The sequence below is a fragment of the Homo sapiens genome, chromosome 14 (genome assembly GCF_000001405.40).
Source record: "Homo sapiens chromosome 14, GRCh38.p14 Primary Assembly".
In the NCBI taxonomy this organism is placed as follows: domain Eukaryota; kingdom Metazoa; phylum Chordata; class Mammalia; order Primates; family Hominidae; genus Homo; species Homo sapiens.
This window is the reverse complement of record NC_000014.9, coordinates 82,642,265-82,667,179: the sequence shown is the minus strand read 5'-3', so window position 1 is coordinate 82,667,179 and position 24,915 is coordinate 82,642,265. Positions and strand designations below refer to the sequence as shown.

The following is a 24,915-nucleotide window of genomic DNA, read 5'->3' as shown; positions in this document are numbered from 1 at the left end:
TTATTCTGGAACCAGTCAGAGTACCATATTTGCCAATGTGAGATCATTGGAATAACTTTTGCTGATGTCTTCCACATGTTGGCTAACTATTTGAATTCTAGTTTAACCAATGTGTGCAGTGTCTCATTTCCCACATATGCTGAGCAAGGCTCTTATTCAGAAGGTGGAGGAATTGCCAAGTGTCTGATAAAAGAATTCTGTGAAAATGTTGCCTTATCTAAAAGAAAATGTGTCCTTAAACAATCTGAGATCTCCTATTGTTAAGCTAGTCATACGTGAAAGCAACTTGGAACAGTAATATCTTTTCCAGATTTCTTGGATTAATAATAATGAAAATGGAATAGGCAAAAAATTGAATAAATCCTATGATGTAAATGATTGTATCATCCTTCCTTAGAGAGAAAACTTAATGAGACTCATAAGGCATTGATGGGAATAATTTATACGCAGTATCTTGTTTCAAATTCGATTCTATCTTGTCTCTATTTCTTGAGGAACATGGTTGTTTTGTGCTGGTAAATGACAAAGAGGTGATAATTCTGATTTTTCATGCATTCTTGCTGTTGAATTTACCTAGGTCTTGTATGAAATGTAATTGGTCATGCCATTAAAATGGTCTCTTTTTTGCCCATTGTCATGTTATTTGCTAATCTACTTCAGGTCTTTGTCATAGCTATAAGGTGACGTATTTCAGAGTAAAATGGTAACAGTATGTACATATTTTTAATAATGTTCAGTTGGAATGTTTTGCACTTTTTTGGTTAAGAATAACACTATAGGAATGTAGACATATCGTGACTATTTAACTTTCTCTTCAGATTTTCACTGAACTTTACTGATTTTTTTACTCATATTCAATTTATTTCTGCCTTATAATATCTCCTCATAACTCAGCTCATTAAACTTTTTAACCTTTGATCATATCACTGATAAATATATTCTCGTCATATATTCTTGACCTTTATCTGTTAAGGTTACGCCAAGTTCCATTTGAATAAATTAATTGGTAGAAAGTCACTATTTGAAGCAATATAATCTTAATATTTGAGAACTGGTATCATTTGTTTGTTGTGACACAACAAACAATAACAATTCCACTAAAAAGACACACAAATTTTGGACCTTCTGGGAAATATCAAGAATAAAAAGGTTGATATAGTTAGGGCTACTGTGATCTTGGGCTGTGAATTTGCCAATTTACTGCCTGTCACTTGAAATAACAATATAGAAATTTTCCGTATATGAGGAAGTAAAGTGAAATTTATACTTTATGTTGAATACAGAAGTTGACTTTGCAGGAACCTTCTGAGAACAGAAATGTCTAAACCTGGAAATCATTGAAAATAAATCCATGATGTACAGTTATTTGTGAGCTTAAAAGAGTCACACATTTTCCCTAAGTCACTAAAATTAGACTAAAGTATCTTCAGGCCCACAACAGAGAGTCAATATTTATGTCTATTAATATGCCCCTAATTATAAAGATGTCTTTTTACCTTTCTTGTGGTTTCAATAATACTGGTGATAGAATGATGTGATTAAAGGGTATGCAACTTTGGCTGCATAGGTAACAAATAAATCCTGTGCTTTTCCGAGTAATCTTGTGGATAGGTAGCTATTTGATCTGGTATGCACCTCTTGTTTATCTATTAACCCTATTAACATCAAAAAAGGAATCACTATAATACAAAGATAGCAGAATCCATGTCAATGGGCATCCAGTATTGGAAATGGAAGAGTATTATGGTATGTAACTAGGAATACTATTGAATTCTTAGTCTAACTCCATAGCATTGTTGATAAAGAAAACAACCAGTTTCTACTAGCTCTGGCTGCAGTGCGTACCGAAGCAATATATGCCACTACGGCAGCCCATTTGGGAGCATGAGGGAACAGATATATCTATGTCAGCATATCTGAGTTGACATCAATTTCTGCCAGTAAGAGGTCAATCTACTACAAAGACAATATACTGAAGATCATCATATGAAAGGTACAATAAAACCAGGGATCTGGATGCCTAGATGCTTAAGTCTTACTATTGTTATTTGAAGATGAAAGTAACCTGACCCATAAGTCTATTTTCAGCTTCATGTTTTATATAGTAATAGCAGATTTAAATGCAAATAGTCTAGATGTCCACTGTAAAATTTTGATTCCCCAGCACACTCCTACTAATCCAAGTAAATATTAAGTATATAGTACAGAACATATAGGAGCCTTAAGGGAAATATGATAATGTAAAGCTTTCATGGGCTTTTACAAATTATGATACAGACTTGGTGTGATAGTTAATTTCATGTGTCAAATTGACTAGGTCATGGAAATCAGATAGCTGATTAAACATCATTTCTGGGTGCACTTGAAGGTGTTTCTGGAAGATACTAGCATTTGAATTGGTGGACTCAATAGATTGCCTTCCCCAATTTGGGTGGTCATCATCCAGTCCATTTAGATCCTGATTAGAATAAAAATGTACAGGAAAAGATGATTGGCTGGTTATCTGACTGACTGCTGGATCTGGAATATCAATCTTCTTTTGCCCTTGGAGCTCCTATTCTCAGGTCTTCATACTTACACTGAAACCTACATCATCAGCTCTCTGGCTCTCAGGCCTTAGAACTCTATCACTGACTTTCCTTCTTCTCCAGCTTGCTGACAACAGATCATGAGACTTAGACTGCATTATCTATTTATTTTTATTTTTATTTTTTATTTTTTATTTTTTGAGATGGGGGTCTCGTTCTGTCACCAGGCTGGGTGCAGTGGTGATCTTGGCTCACTGCAACCTCCGACTCCCAGGTTCAAGCGATTCTTCTGCCTCAGCCTCCCAAGTAGCTGGGATTACAGGCATGTGCCACCACCCCCGGCTAATTTCTGTATTTTTTTAGTACAGACGGGGTTTCACCGTGTTGGCCAGGATGGTCTTGATCTCCTGACCTCGTGATCTGCCCACCTGGGCCTCCCAAAGTGCTGAGATTACAGGCGTGAGCCACTGCGCCCGGCCTAGACCGCATTATCATGTGAGTCAATACATTAAAATAACTCTTTTTGCATATATATATATGTGTATGTGTGTGTGTATGTGTGTGTATAATGTGTCTATATATAAAACATGTATGTGTCTATAAATAAAAAATACATATGGCCGGGTGTGGTGGATAACGCCTGTAATCCCAGCACTTTGGGAAGCTGAGGTGGGCAGATCATGAGTTCAGGAGTTTGAGACCAGCTTGGCCAATATAGTGAAACCCCATCTCTACTAAAAAATACAAAAATTAGCCAGGTGTGCTGGTGCACGCCTGTATTCCCAGCTACTCAGGAGGCTGAGGCAGGAGAAATCGCTGGAACCTGGGAGGCAGAGATTGCAGTGAGCCGAGATCACACCACTGCACTCCAGCTTGGGCAACAGAGTGAGACTCCATCTCAAAAAAGAAAAGAAAAGAAAAGAAAAAAAAATATGTATATATATAACGTATATATTATATATGTATCTATTTATCTGTGTGTGTGTGTATATATATATCCTATTGGTTCTGTTTCTCCGGAGAACCCTAGTACACTTGAGAATGTGGAAAGAGGTATGGTATAGGATGAAAAAGCTGAGATGCTGTGGTAAATCTTATTTCTTCCAGGTAATACCCTCTCTCTGTCACTATGGTGAAACAGGGTTAGTGAAATTTGTTTTCCCCTTAATGTCTGTATGCTTACCCTGTACTTTATACAAGAAAACACATAAAATCCAGGTCATGCAACCTCCAGTAAAACGTAATGAATTTTGGTGGTTTAGGGAAGTAGTGTGTGGTGGGCTTGGCCTCTGTTTTTTGTTATTTGCTTATTTTAATACCAACTGCTTTAATTACAGATTTTACAGATAGGGAGGGATAATAAAGAGTTTCAGAACAGACACTCAAGTTTACTGCCAGTCCCTGATAAACTAAATTATAAATGGAGAAAAAGGTTTCAATATTATCAATTAACTCATTTTTATCACACTTTTCGGTTGTCTAATACTGTCATATTTACTGTTATCTATTTACAAGGAGAATGGAAAAGATGGTGCTGTCTTAGGTTTGTTCCATTATATGGGATTTATCCATAAATATGATTTAAAATTTACATGGCTTAGGTTGAGGTTTCTTTATTTTCCGATAATTAGCTGTTGAAAAGAATGTTATCTCTGTATGATTCTAAAAATGTTATCATTAAAAAGCTAGTAAGTGATTCTTGCTCATGAGTTCCCAACAGAACAAAATGATTTAACTTATAACTTTATTTCTCAGGGTATGCTTAAGTTTGTCTGGCATCCTGTCTGAATTTTAGCAACAAGACAATCCAGGGAAGGACAAGTCATCAAGCTACATGAATGACTGGTTAGAGTGTTTATTGAACCTGTAAGAGAGAGGGTTAGAGCCTTTGCTTAGATTCCATCTGTATTCTAAGTAGACACTGGGAAAGTCAAATAAAATTTCTGAAGAGTGAGCTATAGGCAAGAAAGAAAATGCATTCCATGTTAGCATTGACAAGCAGGGGTAGAGGCAGTGCTAATGGGGGCTGGTTCAATGAGTGGGCTTGTTTCTTCATATGCAGAATAATCAATGACTGTGGATACCAATGACCTTCCTTTGAATGCAGTTATTATCCTGGCAATAACATTTATAATTTTTTCTTTTAACAAATTTTTTTCAGACTGGGGTAAATGTTAGTAATGTATACAGACACATACATACAAACACTGGCGTGCACATATACACTCATACCCATGCCTTTCTAGCACATATATGTTAATCACCTTTCCCTCTAATTCTTTTAAACAGAAAAGGAAAGAAAGTTGGAAAAAGAATGAGTAATGGTGCTAAAGTTCTTCCTCACAGGCTTGACATTAGGTTCCCTGGAATTTCTCCACTCTCCTCGCACCTGTACACACTTCTGGTATAGCACTTATGACACTGCATTCTATTTACTTATTTATGTATCTATCTCTCTTTTGAAATTATGAGATTTTTGAAAGTCAGGACTGTATGCTGTATAATGGGTTGGTAAATTCCATAAAATGAATATATTGAAGGTACATGAATGGCTCCACCTACAATAATCCTTCATTCAGAAATGAGGATCGTTTCACTACTGAATGACTTACTCCCATACAGTATGGAAAAACACGGTTGGCTTCATTTTTTTTTTCATTTGCCTTATTCATTAAAAAAAAAGCTTTTGCTGAGTTTTCCAAATTATCAGATAAGCAAAAAGAAGACTGATAAAAATTGATTTCACTACTCTAAGTGACTTTGAATATAAGGAATTCTAAGACTATTTTGTTTGATTTTTTAGAGGACAGGGCAAATGAAAAAAGCAGATATTTAAAATGAAACCGGAGGTTTGACATGACATCTGGTGGTATAGGTGAAGCTGCTTATCTAATTCAAGTCTTGGGAACTGAGACAAATATTTGACTTTATGCTTTATGGAAACTTCACTGGAAAAGCACTACATACCATTCATTATGGAGGACAATCAATCTCTTTCAGCATGATTTAGTTACTAACATACCAAAAACTGTCATTATTAAAGATGGAATCCCTTCAAGTGATTGTAGCTGTCTACCAAACCTGAGGATAATTTTCTGATAAGTGCTAGTATGTTTGGGAAAAAAATACTTAATTTACAGTTACAGAATAATGATTAATGAACACAGGGTGAGCAAGGAGATGTGACAGCGTATATATCTATGTCAGCATATCTGAGTTGACATCAATTTCTGCCAGTAAGAGCGTAATCTTAGACAAGATGTTTAACCATTCACTTCCTCTGTTTCTTTATACCTAAACAAAGAGGTTGGGTTAGATTAGATTTTGTAAATTGTTTTCTGAAAAACATGAGTATGATAGGAGGCTAAAGATTTAATACAACATAGTTTCTCTGGCTAAGAAAGTTAAACACTTGCATTTTCTGCAGGATCATCCACAGCCTTTATATGTTAATGTGCACTGTGGCTCTTTAAGACAGAGAATACAGTAGGTAGCTGCAAAGTTATATGATTCTACCTGGTAGTAAGCCAGGCTTGGTTACTTCTCAACCCTAAAGAGATGAATTGTTTTGAATTGTAGAAGTCTTCTGCATAAAGAAGTACTAGGCTTTTAAAGTACCAGGCCTTGGAGGCCTCAAAATATTGCATGAATGAAAATCACATTTTACATTCACTTTTAAAACTACTAATGATAAGGCTATATCTCCATCCATTAATGGTAATCTAAAAGACAAAATACTTTCTCATTAGCTAATGCCCAGCCCATTATTAATTGATATTAATATGTTAGTGGTAACATTAGGGTGAGGTTATTTCTTGAAAGTACCAAAAATTAGAGTATTGTTTTTATGTGATACAATTGGATGAGTTTTTTTTCTTTTTGATAGTTCTGCAAGACACTCTAATAGATATCAATCATTTTATTATAATATGCAACCAAATGCCCTTGCTCTCTAATCACATTATGAACTATAGGAAATGAAAAAGGCCACAGTCAGTAATTCAAGCTATGAGAAACATCTAAGAAGAGGCAAACACATTGAGAGGTTAGTTTGTGATTTAAGAAGATACAATTTTGCCTAGTCTAATACTCAAAAAGTGTCCTTCTTCATGCACATATAGCAATAAATAATTGTTGAAAAATGAGATTTAAATTCTGGGTGCACAGATAAAAGATTCAGAAAAAGCCTCCTAAATTTTATTAATAAAAATATAAATAATACTAAATAATACTTTACCTTTTATGCCATGACTTTAGCGCAGGGGAATATTTTGTAGCCAATAGATTCCAATGATGTTTTACTGGCATTGATTTCATGGAAGATGGAGTGACGATGGACTAAAAATAGAGACTATTAGTAAATATTTAAAACCCAGAGAAAACAGTGGCCGTGATATGACTTTGTACATGAGAAGCAACAGTCTAAGGAGGCCATTCGTCATTCTCAGTTTTTAATGTTCCATTTACAACAAATATAGAATAGGTTAAAATTTGTTGTGAAAAAAAATTTTAGACTGAAAACTGAAAGGATTATAGGGCAGGACAATATTTCACTGAAGATACAGAACCATTAATACTAATAAATATTTATTGAATGTTCACAAAATCCATGGCCATCTGACCAAAGTCATAGGGAGAAAAAACTAACTCTGGTCCACTTTACATTTAAGAGAAATATTTAGTTCACAATCCGTGAATGAATAACAATCCTCTGGAGCTTGAAGAACGATCTAGATGAATTACACTTCTTCCCAGTTATGACTCTACAATCCTTTTTCTGTTCAATGATTGGTGGTGTTAGCCTCTGCTGTACTGCTTTTTTTCCAAGTGGATAAGTCCTTTCTAATAAAAACTCCCCCAGCTCATAGAGCATTTCTTCTGTCCGCATTCTCTGATTCTGCTGAGGGGTGTTAAGGATGTTGTTCAGCAGAAGACATTTCTCCCCTAGTGCTGACTAATATGACCTCCAGTGTTATGTAGTTTTAGGATTGCATTAGAAACATTAGTTACAGTAAACCGCAAGGACAGTTTTGTAGGATGATCCTTTAATAAGAGCATCTCCTCTTGCTCCTGCTTTCCTGTCAGCAAGGATGGTCTTAGTCCTTGCCACTCACTTTTCCATCTTTGGTACCATTAAATCCATCCCATCTATCTGTCTCTCATTGCATTGCAAAACATTGCAGACTTAAAGATTTGCCTGAAGTGCGGAATTAACTAGATTCTTAAAATATAATAGTTCCAAATTGTAACAAGAAAATTTAATATTAAATTAAATAATTCCTCATATCCTCAAATTATACGTAGTAACCCAGTGTCCTGAAAACAAAATAGAAATCCAGAGTTTCGGTGAAGAAAATTTCCTAAACTTCCAGCATATTGACAAGTCATTACACTTAGTAATGTTATGGTTTTTTAATGATATATTTTTATGTTTTAATTTTTAAAACATTTAAAAAATAACCATAGCACTATATAGATCCGTTGTAAAATATATATCATCAAAAGAAAATGGCAATAACCCAAAACAAAACCACCATCAAATATGGACATTTTAGATCATTTCCTTTTCTCTATTTATGGTGCACGTTTTTTATAATTGAGATCAATAATGTATATAAACTGCATAGCCTCCTTCCTCACTTATAATTATATCATAATATTTTTGTCTATTTGTTTAAAAAATTATAAGCATTAGTTTAAAAGCTTCATAGTATTTTATAGTATGCATAGGCCCACTTTATTTAAATATTTCCTGTAAAAATGAACATTTATATTGTGTGTAGTTTTGGTTTATCTAAGTATAAATCTTTGAAAAGAATAATCAGACCTCTAAGATTTTATTCTTAGAAATTGAATTATTGAAATAAAGAATATAAACATTGTGTTCTTTATTCAGTTCTCTTTATTCACAGAGAATGTTTATTACTGAAAGAGTGTTAATGGTTTATCTAATTCGTGGAAGTTTACCAACTGAATTATTAAGATGTCCTGCTCTTTCACCAGTTAGTTATTTTGTAAATAACTATTTCTCAAGAATTGCATATGCAAGATGTTTTCTAAGTTATTTTATTACTGTTGATGTCTTTAAACTTTTATGAGTAAAATATTTTTAATATGGTTAGATAATAGCAAATGAGTTCATACTTTTTTCCGTTGTTGTGGTTTAATGTCATGCAACAAATGTTATCATGAACCCGAAACATTTAACGTATCTTAAAAGAATGATCTCTTTATTTACTTATTAAACTCAGTTATATAGGTAGATAGTAACACTTTTTTCCTTGGCATACGGAGAGACTAACATCCAAATAGCTAACTTTATTGAATAGATTACACTACTTTAAAAATCTAGTAGATTTTTGGAGACATGCTGTAGGCAAAATATTACCTGAAGCTCATATCAATCAATACCTATCTTTCTCTTTAGTAATATATTTGAAGAAGGCTTTAATGTCAGTGAATATACAAGTACTCTTCCTATTTGCTTTTCATGCTATAACTGTTTTTTTAATTATCAAAAATTTCCAAATTGTAGGAAAGTAAATTCCTCAATTTTGAGATGTTTTCATTTTGAGATAATTTCATATTTTGGTGTTTCATTTTAGTCTAGATGTACAGAACTGTAAAGGAATTTAATGGAGTCTTCTATTATTTACAGAAGAATCAATACTTAAAACTTTTCAATTTAATGGGATGGATATTTGAGTAACAGACATCCTTCATACTTTTAAGGATAAATTATCTGTAAATCTCTTAAATTGCCAAGTTCCATTGTGAGGTTTATATTTAAATATTAACAAACTAAACATTAAAACCCAGTCTAATTACAGCTCATATATTCTAAGACTTTTAATTAATTTCTACCACTTTAATGCTTTCTACATCTCTATGTAACTTTCAACTGCTTTCTAAACTTTTCAAGTACTGGGTATTCTTTGATCTGAATGATAGATAAAAACACATTACACCAAAACTTTAGTTTCCACTACTGTTAAAATACACTGCAGGGACCTATGAAAGTGCTGTCTACTATATAAATATATGTTGATGTTTCATGTATAATTGCTTCCACAGGGACACTAAATATATTCCATAGATTGTAAGGCAATCATAAGTCAGAAGAGACATTGAGTGTGTAAATAATGTAAATGCTTGTCTTGAGTCATGGGGGAAAACCCCTGAACCATTTTTCTTACCATATTTCAACAGCTGCTGGCTTTGTCTGAGAGGCAAATAATTGGAGGTACTTATGTATGTCATGGTTATTTCAGAATCCCTGTGTTCCTCTCCAGGCAGAATCCCTATGAATTTTGGCTCTTACTTATGTGTTCTCATGATACCGAAATTCCAGAGAGCGAGGGTGCAATGATAGCCCCAGAGAAACATTTCCGTCCTTAGAAGTTAGTGCACTTTGGATTATCAGCTTGATCGTATCCTTACTTCAAATTCAATGGTATGGATCTTATAAATCCTGGATCTCCATATATAAATGGCTCCATCTGACTCAGTATCTTCCTTCTCAGGCTAGTTTCAGTTTCTGGGCATATTTAAAACAAATGTATTTTATAATATAGCCAAATAATCCTGAATAAACTCTTATCCACAATTCTTGAAGTAACATTTAGAAAGAGAAATATATTTAAGCAGAGAAAAGCAGAGAAAGTATTTAGAAGCTTAAAATTAGAAAATTCTTTATAGAAATAAAGTACCTATTTGTGTTGATAAAAAGCAATAAAATAAAATCAACATTTTTCAGTACACGATTTTTGTAGACATTTGCATAAGGGTCAGTAATTATGTATGATATAGTACAAGGAAAATGATGGAGCAAACTAGTTTATTTTGTAACAACTTGCCCAATAAACTGAAATATAAAATAATAGCACATCACCAAAAAACTTCTCTTCCGAAGTATCTCATCGAAATATTTACAAGTCATATATTTTCTTTGTAGTTTGGTTATATCATCTGTAAAGTGTGGGAGAAAAACTAGATAATATTCTAATTTTGTTTTTCACTTTAACTTTGATTTTAAGATCTCATATTGATAATTTGTTAATATTTTATATCATCCTTGAAAGATTTGACGTGCTTCATGAAAGTAAACATAGCAAAATCACGTTTTCTAAGTGAGAGTTGAAAAAGGTAAGGGTAAGTTGAAAATAAGACAAAATAAGAGAGTTAATGCACATACCTACATTTTCTCCTAATACTGTATCTGTTTACCTGCAAGAGTAATTTGCAACCTCAAAATAATTACAATTGACACTAACTACATGATAGGGTAACTAATCATTTTAACTACAGAGTGATTGAAAGACTTAACCTAAATTATAGAAAGTATTATGGGAAACCATTTTCCTGCTATTTTTGTTCAATATGGCTGCTGATAGGTTTGATTTTTTCCTATGGTAGGTTACATAAAAGGCCACAACCCTTCACCACTTCCTATAAAGCTGACCTTTGCAATGTAACTTTGTATTACCTGCCACTAAAGAGGTATAGTGGTATTGCTTTATCACTTGAGTCTAGACTTAACCATATAATTTGTTCTATGTAATACAATGTTAGCAGGCATAATATTACTAGGAAAAAAATACTCTTATGGAAAGTACTTGTACAGTCAAACTCACTCTTGTGCTTCTGCCATGGCCAAGAGATAGGCATGCCTAGGCTAGCCTACTGGGCCCAGGAGAAGAATAAGGGACATATGACTTAGAGCTGCCTAGTTGTACACAGGCTAGATAAGACAGCCTTGTGGTGAGATGTGTGACAAATCAATTTTGCTATATATCACTGGGATTTGTGGACTATGCAGCATTAGTATTCCAATAATTCCGAGTCTGGCATTATTATCTCCAAGGGGTCATGGTACTCTATGGCTTAGACACACAGATGAGAAGTATGTCTTCCTAAAACAACAGCACATGGGAACACTACAGGGTCAAGAATGGCCTGGGTCTCCTACCCAGGACTCATGTTCTGTATTGGAACTGAGTATCTTAGAGATTGAAGGCATGAAGGACGTGCCGTTCTAAAATATGCCTAATTAGTATATTGATTCTTTCAAGTTGAAAACAGTACAGAAATTGCAGTTTTAGAAAGGGCTATCTAGCTTGTTTCTTGCTGTGTGCACAAGCCGTAAAGATTTCTCTGGGAGGGATACTTTTCCTGTGCCAGAAGAAGAAAGTAGCCTTTATCATCAGAGACTGGGAATTGGAGGCTTCAGAGGACCTGAATAATTATGCTTACCAAAGTAACGCTTATCTTCAACTAGTTTTACAGCCCCCTCCCTTGCATATATCTGCTAGTGACTTTCCTAGAAATTTACTTCTAGGCAGATCACCTTTGTTATGTCATTTCTTCTTGAATTTATCATTCTTTGTCTAAAAAGTATAAAAACATCCGACTTCATGCTCTTGTAAACATCCCCGTGTACATGTAAAACTAATACAACCTGTATGCTTTTCTCTTGTTAGCTTGCCTGCTGTCAATTTGGTTTCTAGATCCAGCTGAAGAGCCCACATGAGAGTTAAAGGGAGGTTGGAGGTGATCTCTGGCTTCCCTATGGGATCTAGACAGCCAAGCTAACACACAAGCCATTCTGTGAATAAGCTGACTTGTGATAGAACTTAGGCTTGAGAGAACACCACTGTCTAACATCTGCTTGTTTTTATTTCCATGATTCTTGCTAGGATTTCTTACATTCTATTAATAACATTTTTGCTTTTGTAATTCAGTATATTGCTCTTTTCCTCTCTTTTTAAATAACGTGTTTCTTCTTGTAGTATTAATTCATTTTCATCGTCTTCCTTTTCTGCAAAGTTTATTTTTTATTAGATTCTTCATAAGCTTGATTTTTAGCCAGGAAGAAAACATGTTCATTGGCATATTTCATCATTCTCCAACACCTTGAGTTAGTATTAATGAAAATGTCTGTTTTTTAAAAAATATTTAGTTTGGTAAGCAATTCATTTTGGTTCCATAGCATCCATATTTGGAATGTGTACCTCACACTAATCAGAAAGAATGATGCCATTATCTGTTATAGTGGCAACAAGATAATTAATATCTAGTGATAGACACACTCAAAATTTCATTAATTATATTATTTAAGCTTTTAATTACACTCCAATATACTTCCCCATTTACAAAACAAACTGAAAGGATTCCCCAGCTCACTGTCTCTTGCTGCTATTTATTTCCCAGGAAGATTTATCAAACGCTATGAAAGCTATGAATTGAAATTACCTTGAGCTTTGTTTTCTTAACTGCTTTTCCTTTCTCTGTTCCACCAATAAAATCTAAATAACAAAATAATTGGATGCATTATTTCCAGCTACCTTTTTTCATTTTCTGGTCTTGTACTGAGACCAGGATGCAACCCAAGGAATTAAAAGCACACAGCTAGCTATCACCTTCTTCCTGATCTCTTAAAAAAATAAAGGCAACCTCATTCACAAGAGTTTTCATTTGATATTATAATAATGAGGATCAAATTATTGAGGCACTCCTTCTGTCACTTGGGAAAGAAAACAGAAACACTCTTTGCTAGTTAGATTTACGTGACTTCCTTTGGAAGCAAGATAATAATTTATATTTAAATGAAATGATGATTAGCATAAGGGTTTATCATGGCAGCCAGCCCACAGCAAGCTTTATTTGTACTTACCTGATGCAACAGAGATAAGAAATGTAAGTGCAGTCCTAGCTCCTTCCCCACAATTAAAGCATTTTGAGGCTTTACTCCCCAAATGACAGGTTAACCAAAATGATTTTAAAAGAAATGTTAATCTACAATTTTTGTAATGTTCTTATAGAAAATAATGATGTCATTAAAAACAACACTAGCTCAGAGACTTATGGCAGCTGTTAACCCAAGTTTGTATCAATTCTGGAAAGACAATGTATGTTTCCGGCTTCCAAGTCCTCTTTTTATAAAATGGAAATTTCAGAATGTTTTCCTAGGTTTCTTCCAGATCTAAAATTCTGGATTTCTGTAACCACAAAGAGGTGAGTTTTTATCATACCTATTTAACTCACTGTGAAGAATTTGTATTCTTTCAAGAGATGGTACAATTTCATTTTACAGAAAAGTCTCACTTTTTATTATCTTTCTCAGCTTTTCCTATTGACTTGTAATAGGACAAGTTGTGTAAGATAGGTGATAGGCTGGGGTGATTAAAAAGCCAGATTCTATGGCCATATAGCCTGATTTTAAATCTCGGATTTGTCACACATTGCTGTGGACTTCGGATAATATATTTAGGTTGTCTATTTCTTAGCTTTTGTTAAAAAAAAAAAAAGAAGATAATCATGGGGCCTGTCTAACAGGGTCTCTTGGTATTTTTGCCTGTATTAATACATCTATGAGAAGGGTGAATCTTAGCACTGAGCACTTAGCCTCAGTAGAAATACTGTAGCAATATGGAGTTCTTTTTTGAGAAAGAGCCTTTCTTAACTACCCAAATATAACTTTGGGAAACTATCCTTGGGTATCCTTCTCAAATTACTAAAACTGAGTCATCCATCACAATAAAAACAGAATAAAATTTATCTTTTTTTCCATCTATGAGAACTTTACCCAAGTAAAGTTTGAAATATGCAAAATTCCGGTTGCATTCTTTTATATATAACTTACTTTCCTACCTTCACAGATGCTACAGGGTAATTCTAAATCCTAAAGTTTATTACTATTAGTTATTATACATTAATCATTGCTTTGGTATCACTCTATTTTTACAAATGTTTTCTTTAAAATATCTATTAAAACTCTGCTTTTCTAGGCATATCATAAAATGTTCAATATGATTTATCCTCAGAAAATTGCAAATTAAAGCAAAAATGAGCTATTGATATATAAGTATTAGAATGGCTTTAAAAAAACTGAATAGGCGATGGGACAGTAGAAACCTTCTTTCATCGCTAATGAGAATTCAAAATGGTACCATCGTTCTGGAAGATATTTTGGCAGTTTTTTTACAAACTTAAATATAGTTTTAATATACAATCCAGCAGTTGTGTCCCTGGCTATTTATCCATTTCAGTTACAATTTTATGCCCACACAAAATCCTGCATATGAATATTTATAGCACTTTCATTCATAATCACAAAAAACTGGAAGCAACCAGGATATCTTCCAATATGAATGGATACACAAACTGGGATTCAGTCATGCTATGGAATATTATATAGTGGTAAAAATGAAATGAGCTATCAAGCCACAAAAAAGACATAGAGGAATCTTAAATACATATTGCTAAGTTTAAGAAAAGGCTATATACTATATATTCCCAATTATACAATGTCTCAAAAAAGGCAAAACTATTGAGACATTAAAATGATTATTGATTCCCAGGTATTAAGGAAAGGGAAGGCATGAATAGGTGAAGCACAGTATTGTTTTAGGGCATTGAAACTATTTTGCCTGATACTATAAAGGTGGATACATGACATTATGCATTTGTCAAAACCCATGTAACTTTTTTTTAATTTTTTTAAATTTTTTTTTATACTTTAAGTTTTAGGGTACATGTGCACATTGTGCGGGTTAGTTACATATGTATACATGTGCCATGCTGGTGCACTGCACCCACTAACTCGTCATCTAGCATTAGGTATATCTCCCAATGCTATCCCTCCCCCCTCCCCCCACCCCACCACAGTCCCCAGAGTGTGATATTCCCCTTTCTGTGTCCATGTGATCTCATTGTTAAGAAAAAAACAAACAACCCCATCAAAAAGTGGGCGAAGGACATGAACAGACACTTCTCAAAAGAAGACATTTATGCAGCCAAAAAACACATGAAAAAATGCTCATCATCACTGGCCATCAGAGAAATGCAAATCAAAACCACAATGAGATACCGTCTCACGCCAGTTAGAATGGCAATCATTAAAAAGTCAGGAAACAACAGGTGCTGGAGAGGATGTGGAGACATAGGAACACTTTTACACTGTTGGTGGGACTGTAAACTAGTTCAACCATTGTGGAAGTCAGTGTGGAGATTCCTCAGGGATCTAGAACTAGAAATACCATTTGACCCAAAACCCATGTAACTTTAAAGCATAAGGGGGTAAACTTTAAAATTAAAAGGTAAGAAAAAAGAAACATTTAGAAGGTCCAGGGATTCCAAAATAACACATGCGCAACAGGAACATTTCATTGTATGGCAAATAATGGTGAAATTACACCTGTGTCTCTAGTAGATTATTGAAACAATCTCACCGAAGATGGTGAGGAGAGGAAGATGCTGAGCTGAGTAACTTTGTAAATGAGTAAAGTCTGTAAGAGTAAGGGCAAAAGAAACTGCCTGTAAGCACTGTACTCTATTTGGTAAAGTAGCCTCCTGGCAAGCACTAGTTACCAACTTTGAAACTACTGCATATATGCCCTGGAATTGAACAATTAAATAAAGGAACAGTGGATGGTGAGAGCCAAACTTCTCACTGTTGGAATAGGAATTTACAGATAAAGCAAGGGAAGGAGATAAGCATTATCCAAGCAATCATAGATTGGCTTTGGAGAAATCAGTATAAACTCAAATTTAGCTTAATCTAGAGGCAAGTGGTTATATACAGAAGTTCTCTGTGAATCTAAAACTGCTCTAAAAATAAAGCCTAATATTGAAAACAAAATTTATTTCTATATTACCTTCATATTCCTTCTCAAATTATTTTACTTCTTCTCCTCCTTATTTTGTTTCTCCTACTTCTTCTTCTTATACCTGTAGGGAAATATTTTAATTCAGCTTTTCTAAGCATATTAAAAGTTGCTCAGTAAAAATAAAATCAATATTATACACACTATATATTTCACCTATTGGGTTAATTTCTATAATTTCCAATAGAAAAGAACATTATTTGTTTGTTTTGTTCACTGCTAATTCCCCAGGACCTTGAATATTGTCAGACAAACAATGTTTCATTTTTTAGCATAAATATTTATCAAATATTGCATGGAAAATATTTCATGGGACATACTTATACTAAAAACAATATTTTTGTCTATCTGAAATTCAAATTTAACTTAATGTTCTGAATTTTTGTTTATTATGTGTTTGTTGGTTTTAACTAAATCTGTCAACCCTACCTGAAACTTACACAATTTCGGACACCTACTTTATTAAAAATGGAAAATTACAAATTAAAATTATATTGCCCAGAATGAGGTCCATGTAAATGAAGATTCCCAAAATTTAAGCTTCATTAGCTTCATGGAAAAATCCATCTATAGGAAAACAGCTGTAATTTTTTACCCAGATGGGGTTTGCAGAATCATGTCAATAGAGTAGCAGTTTTGCCACACCCACGTGCTGCTGCCATTAGCATTGACAAAAATTCTAAAGATCCTCAGAAAGTCAATGTTTGAGTTACTCTTTAGAAGACTCTTTTGCCATGTTATAAATTGAGTTCAGCAGCCCTTACCATGGAGTCTATTATCTCGTTGATGATCACTTAACTCCATGAACATTAATGTCAAATAATATGCCACGTCCTCCAAGGGACAAACCTTTTTAGAGGTCTGTGAAACATGAAATGAGTGCTTTTTACAGAGCAGAGCCAAATTGTGATCTCATTGGTACCTAACAAGATTTCAAACACTGAGAAACAGCAATACAAACTTTGTGATGGGGAACTTCAAAAGAAACACTCTAAGTAAAGGGATAAAGAGGCAAACCATTAACTTTGCAAAAGGATTAACATCAAGGATGAAACCTCAGTCTTCCTGGGAACAAACAGCAACCCACACATCCTTCAGGAAGAGACAATGGCAGCTCAGAATGGAAAGCAAGACTCAGGAACAGACTAACATGGAGGTGAACCCTCGGGGATAAAGATAATGCTTCCCTGGCCCAGTGTCTAAAGAACCTGCCGTCTTCAGAGTAGGAGAACTACGTCTTCCTTTTAGTGTTAAGCCCTCTTCTTGGAGCAACTTTTATTATAATATTAAATCTTGCTTCCATGGCTAACACACATTTTACAGTCCAGAGATTTGCCTAGTAACCCATATAATTCTAACTCCAGTGTGAGTAAAGATTACCTGAAGAAAATAGAAGACTGCCTCACTGTGTGTGTGTGTGTGTTCATGTATGTATTTTTGAATTGCTTAATATGGGAGACTATTTAAACTCTAAGTACGGACAGAAGTAAGTTTAAAGACATCCTTAGGTGTAGAGACATCCTCATGGTCCCCTACAATGGGCTCACTACAAATGACTACTTGTCTGAAATTCAGAGTTTATGTTCTAGTATAAATATTCCTGCTTTTTACTAAAGCACTTTTCTCCTTTTTCTCTTCTCCCTCTGTTTACCTCTTCCACCTCTTTCTTTCTTAAATTAACTTTGAGGAGTTGACCTGAAGTCTTAGCATTAAAACTATAAATCAATCAGTTAAAAATGCTTTATCTTTATATGGAATGCTGGATTGGTTAATAAAAACAAAAGAATGAGTAGTGGTTTAGAAGTCCACTCTATTTAGTTCTTCAAGATGCTTAAATCATCATATAGTAAATCATGAAGTTTCACATTTCTTTCACTTGTTCACTCTGCTTTTTGTACTGTCTCTTCCTTCCTCATCCTCCTCCAGCCTCTTTTTTCCACTATTGCTTTGGACTGTTCCTCACCTCCAAGGAGCTATTTACAGTTCCCTTTCTTTATTTCTATTTTAACCAATTAGACTGATAGTGGAAAAGTTAAAAGTTTATGGTCATGAAAAATGTTTCCATTTGCTGAAGCCTCCTGATTTGGGGCTTATTGGCTGGTTCATCCTCCAGAACTGGTACCCAAAATTTGTGTTTCGGTGACATTTAGAGACATCCATTTCTCAAATTTTAAGAAAATTAAGAAACAGGACTATAAAGTTCAAATCAGATAAGGAAAAGAATGAGGACAAAGCAAAATACCCAAAAGGAAATGGGTTTTTTTAAAGTTTGCATCCCTAATATTTGTGAATATATGATTATTTTGTCTCTAACTTGGTGTGGTCCTGTGAGGTCCTATCCATTCAAAGGCAGAGGCTGCACCCAAGGCTCCGTATGGTTGAACTGACTTTTATTGATCAGTGAGGCTGGTGAGTTTTGCAAACTCTCCAGCATGCAAAATTATACTTTGCTTTTCCATGTTTTAGTCTCATCTTTGTCAACTGCACAAGTTTGATTACCTGTGCACATCACAGCAATCTTAGTCCAGGCATCCTCACCTAGATTATCCTCAAGACAACCACGCTAATGACTGAGTACTTTAAGCAGCTGCGATGAAATTAACTGCAGCCAAATATTTACCAACATCACATAAACAGATTCTTATTCATTTCTCCCTCTCTCTCTCTTTTTTTTTTCTTTTTTGAGACAGAGTCTTGCTCTGTCACCCAGGCTGCAGTTCAGTGGTGCAATCTCAGCTCATTGCAACCTCCACCTCCTGGGTTCAAGCGATTCTCCTGCCTCAGCCTCCGGAGCAGCTGGGACTACGGATGTGGGCCCCCACACTGGGCTAATTTTTTGTATTTTTAGTTTTTAGTAGAGATGGGGTTTCACCGTGTTAGCCAGGATGGTCTCGATCTCCTAACCTCATGATCTGCCCAGCTCGGCCTCCCAAAGTGCTGGGATTACAGGCGTGAGCCACCACGCCCGGCCTGTCTCTTTTACGTGTATTTTTTCCTTCCTCCCACAAATAAAAAATATCACAGTGTATTTAAACAAAACAAAAACCTATGCATGTACTTTGAAGCAGGTAGCTCTGTGAGCAGTAGCAAATTCATATGGGTCTGTAGCAACCTCAATTCTTGCCTCCTCAGAAGAAAGAATTCCACCGAGGGGCATAAGGCAGAGTGAGACAGCAAGGCAAGTTTTAGAGCAGGAGTGAAAGTTTATTAAAAACCTTTAGAGCAGGAATAGAAAGAAGTAAAGTACACTTGGAAGAGGGTCAAGTGGGTGACTTGAGAGATGAAGTGCCCTGTTTGACCTTTAACTAGGGTTATTACATGTTGGCATACTTCCGAGGGGAGAGGGTTGCATCCCTTCTCCCCTGATTCTTCCCTAGGGGTGGGCTGTTTGCATACACAGGGGCTTGCCAGCACTTGGCAGAGGAGCATGTGCAGTGTCTGTACTGAAATTGTACACATGCTCACTCGAGGTGCTCAAGAATGATCTTATACCTGTTAAACGCCACCATTCCGCCTCTTAGTGAGCATGCTTGAGCCCACTCGTCCAACTCCTGAAATCTTATCAAGAAGCAGTTGATCACTAGTTTCAGGTGTTTCTATCCTTTGGGAGACTGCCTTTTCCTGGTGCTGGCTGCAACCAATTGTTATTTTAGAGAGATACTGTAACAATCACCTGAGATATCTTGGTAAGTGAGTAGGGAGTGTTCAGCCCTCCCCTACCCTGCTCATGTCTGACTAGCTACCTACTGTAACAGCTCTGGATTTAACTACTGTTTTTTACAATTAGGTAAGTGGATTTCTGGTAAATCATTTATATTGATAAGCCCCTACTTAGCACTTGCTAAGTGTTTTAAAGTTAAAAGTGCCTAGAACTGAGTTGATGCTTAAAAATAACAGCTATGATTAATTCTCTTCTAATAACTGCTCCTATGTTATTCTTCTTCCAACCTGCTTTATATTTTATTCCTAGCATTCTTATTCCTCAATGGGAGGGGATTAACTTTCTCAAACATTGGATAAATCAGTAAAAATAAAACAGCCATGCTGCAAAACTGTCTGCAATATTGTGACATAATATGAAATATGTATTTTATCTTTTTCCCCAGTTCCTAGCACAAGCACAAGAGCTTTCTAAAGCCTTAGGAATTTCCCGAGTGATAGGGGTAAGAGAAGCATCTTTAGTCATTCGTAATAAGCCTCTTTCAACCATACCTGAGTTTATGCCAAGGAAATCACTCTGGTGGCAGCCTGGATAGCTTAAATATACACCTGGTTGCCAGAGAAACAAACCAGATGATTAGAGGCTTGGAACGATCCCTTATTCCCTACTTCAGGGGAGACAGGGGACAGGGGATAGAGATTGAGTTAAATGCCAATGTCCAGTGATTTAATCAATCATACCTAAGTAATGGAATCTCCTTAAAACCCTGAACGACAGGGCTCAGAGAGCTCCTGGGTTGGTGCACACATAGTAGTGTTGGGTGAGCAGCATACCTGGAGAGGATGTAGAAGCTCTGCCCTCCTGCCCTATACCTTGCCTTATGCATTGCTTTCATTTGGCTGTTCCTGAGTTGTATTCTTTATAATAAAGTGATAAATGTAAGGAAAGTGTTTTCTTGACTTCTGTGATCTTTTATAGCAAACTGTTAAACCTGAGGAGTGGGTTGTGGGACACTTCCAACTTTACAGGCAGTAGGTCAAAAGTAGGAGGGGCCCAGAATTGCCAAGTGAGGGCAGTTTTGTGGGACTGAGCCCTTACTTGACATGTAGAGTCTGACACTGACTCTGGGTAGATAGGGTCAGAATTGAATTAAATTGTAGACACTTGGTTACAGTCTGGAGAATTGGTTGGTGTAAGAAAAACCATACATTTGGTGTCAGAAGTGTAGTAAGTGAAAACATAAAATAGACTTTTGAAGAAGGGCATTAGCACAGTGATCAGACTCCCAGGCTCTGTCGCTAATCAGCTGTTTTGTTAGCTTTATAACTGTTTATTCACTACACCATTTTCTAAAGCTTCTCACACATAGTCACCCCTCTGGGGAGCTTGATCTGACAGGGTTGAAACTGAGATGATAAAAGTTTAATTATTATCAGTGATGATGGTATTTAATAATTGTGCTCTCACTGGGAACAATTTCCAGGAGAAATCATCTTGCTTCATTACAATATGTGAATGATAAGTCTAATAAAATCTCACATGAGAAATTTTAAACTCTAAGATAAAACTTTTCCTAATAAATGTTTATTACATTTACATAAGTCCCAAGAGCCTTTTGTTCAGGTCAAAAGAAGATGGCAGAATTTTTGATTTTCTTTGTTTCTAAAGGTCACAAAATATAATACTGATTTCCAATGAGGGGTGTGTGTGTGTGTGTGTGTGTGTGTGTGTGTGTGTGTGTGTGTGTAGGGAAGGAAGATAAGGAAGACGAGGGATAGGGAAAATGGAATTCACTTCACCAGGACATGAAGCTTAGACAGGATGGGCTTGGAGACAAACTAGTCTCGACTTTGGAAAACAAATTGTCTTCAGTCTTTGAATTTTTTACAAATTAAATAGTATTGATCTTTTTTTCTGTCCTCATTTGAATGAACTTTAGCAATACATGGTAAGAAGTTGGCTGCTCCAATTTAACATGAAGGTGAAAAGGGTGCCAACCAAGGAGAATGTCAGTGAACCAGGATTTTGAAGTTTACCTTATTTCTCAGTAACAGCATTAATGCTCAAGTCTCCTTTAGGAAGATCCAATTCTATTATCCCAGCTCATTCTAGGTTCCTTGTAACCCAGAAAACTCTAGTATGGACTAAGGATGATTCTAAGTGAATGTTACTATGGAATGTGTGTGTGTGTGTGTGTGTGTGTGTGTGTGTGTGTGAATGTGGTATTAAAGACCATTTGTAAAAAGCAGCATTTCAAATTTTGGTTGAGCTCTTTTTATTGTGTTATGTATCATCCTTGGTACATTTGGAAACTGTATTATGTTGTGGGACTGAGAAGCAGGAGAGCCTGATGCCAGAGTTTTAGTTAAGATTCACTATGTGATGAAAACATTATCTGAGACCATTACACTTAGGCAGATGATAAAAAAGGATCATACTTTTAGGTATCATCGCATGATTCTTGTTTATTTCTTCTTTTCTCTTCAAACTAAGACAAGTAATAAAACAATGTTGACAGAATGACAAGGAAACAATAAATATTTTCTGATCTTGGGAAATCAAGCTCTGCCCTGCAGTGTCATGCTTGAGAAGTGAAGTGCTTCTTAAATAGAAAAAAAAAAAAAAGAACAAACAACCAAACAACAACCCACACAACAGAAACCTGGAAATCAAAATCAAGTCACATCTCTAGAAAGATGATGACCTTCACTTCCAGGAAGGTCTTTGTGTGGTTGTGAATTCGATGTTCTTTAAATGACACCCTGTAACTGCTTAGTGAGAGCCAAGCCATTTTCACTCTCTTTTTGTGCCCAATTGCTGCAGCTGGTTTGACAGAAGTAGCTGGTGCAGATTTTTCTCATGATTGCTTTAGCAGTGTTTCAACCAAAGGTCTCACTTTTTAAGGCATGCAGTTCTTCACTTTAGATTGGCATGCTTCATTGTTAAACTGTTTTATTTGAGGAGAAAGTTTGAAAGGAATAGTACTACAATTAGAAATGAATATTTAATAAATGACAAAAAAATGAAGTAATTGCATGGCCAGTATTCTCTGTTTACAATGGAGCAAAATTAGAAATTATTAACAGAGCTGGAAACAAAAATCAAAAAGAAAATATCTAAGATGTTATCAACTGGTATTTTAATACTTTCATTACAAAAAATCAATCACCAGAATCACTGGATTCAAATAAAAATAAAAACCAATAGTGCCCAATATGGATAAAATGACAATAATAAAAGACATTATAAATCAGAATATATGGAAAGAATAAACATGGCCAAAAAGAAAATTTAGTCTTAAATTCACGTACCAATAAGCTTAAAAGAATGTAAATAAGTTAAGCAGCATACTCCAAGCATTACCAAAAATAACCAACTAAAGAATAAAAAATAGAGAAATGAATACAAATAAAAGCAGAATAAAATGCAAAAAAAAAAAAATTTAGAACTAAAATATCCAAAATTTGGTCCATTGAGGGAAAAGTAACAGATGACTCAATAGTTTAATAATAAAGGGACAAAAGGGAAGGAAGCATAAATATGTAAAATAAGAAATTGCAATGCGGAATTTACCAAAGACAGGAGAGAAAATAAAAGACCATAAGAAACAATTCTCTCAGTTTTATGTGATTTAATTTTAGAACCTAGATGAAATATATGATTTTTTAGAATATGAATTACCAAAATTTACCCCATGAAAGTTGGAAATTTTAAACAGACAAATCATTACCAAAGAAGAAAGAGAAAAAAAACAAATAAGATGCTCATTGGCTTAATCATTCTCCAACCTTTTGAGGAACAAATGACTTAAAATGTTAGATTATTTCAAAGAGTAAAAAAAGTAGGAAAATATCCAGCATAACATTGATACTCAAAACCAGCAAAGATAACACAAACCACCCCCCTCCAAATATTAGAAACCAATTTTACCTGTGAATCTGACATAGAAATCCTTTATAAACACTAAAACAAGGTCTAGAGGCACATTAAAAGAATGATACACTCTATCTAAGTATGGCATGTTTCAGTAATTAAAGATATCTACTGACAAAATATTCATATTCACAGATTTGAAATCTTTGATTATCTTTATAGATACAGAAAAGTTACTGATAAAATTCAGTATCTTTTCATTTAAACAATATTTTAAATTTTTAAATATATGTATATTTTCTTAATATGTACATATATTACATATTTACTCATGTAGTTTTTATGGCTATATGATTATATGCACACTAAAGATAAGTAAATATATGTATTTATTTATAAAACTATGCATTATTTAAAAGATTAGCATTATCTGTATATATATACACAAATATATGTATATATAACTAAAATATGTTCCTATATCAACCATATTAAGTATAACGTGCAATGGGAGAAAATAGTAGAGGCACTCCAGTGAGAGTTAAAACCAGAAGTGAATTTTTATTCTTCTATTATCCTGGAGATACCTGTTGACACATTTAGAAACAGCAATGGAAGGTAAAAACTTGAAGGAAGATAAACTGTATATTCTTACAAATTATATTGTAGGAAAATCCTGGTTCTTGTCATATGGCCAGAAAAGATTAGACTCGCGGACACGTAGAAGGGTAGGAAAAACGGAACTTCTTGGGTGAAAAGGGAGAAAGAGAAAAACTTACAGCAGAGCGAGAAGGAAGCCTGTTTACTGGCTCCGGCCCCATCACACAGGAACGCAAGAGGCTGGGCTCCTCCCCTCTGCAAATGGCGCGAACTTCCGTGGCTCCACCCCATTCTCCCAGTGCGCAGGCCCGTCCGAGGTTCACCGGGAAGCCCTTTTCACCTGGCGGTCTCAATATGGTTGGAAAAGCAAAGAAAAACAACTGAAAATCTGTAAATATAATACATAATTTTGAGAAATGGCTGGGTAAACAATAGTATACAGAAAGAAATTGCTTTCATATAGTCAAATGTTAGGCAGCCAGAAGAAATAATTGAAATTAAAAATCACATTTTCAATAGCAACTTTAAAAGAAATAGCAGGAGAAATTTGAAGAACTATACAAAATCCCTAGAAAGAAAACTAACATGA

At 34.9% G+C, this 24,915-nt stretch overlaps 1 long non-coding RNA gene across 1 annotated transcript in view; it reads right to left on the bottom strand.

Moving 5' to 3' along the window:
• LINC02301 (long intergenic non-protein coding RNA 2301) overlaps nucleotides 1-24,548 on the bottom strand; it is a 64,194-nt gene extending 39,646 nt beyond the window's left edge. The window contains exons 1-2 of the long non-coding RNA NR_146650.1: nucleotides 24,506-24,548; nucleotides 16,184-16,256 (exon numbers count right to left, since the gene is read on the bottom strand). This is a non-coding gene — a long non-coding RNA (long intergenic non-protein coding RNA 2301). The remainder of the gene's footprint in view (nucleotides 1-16,183; nucleotides 16,257-24,505) is intronic.
• Nucleotides 24,549-24,915: the final 367 nt, after the last annotated feature.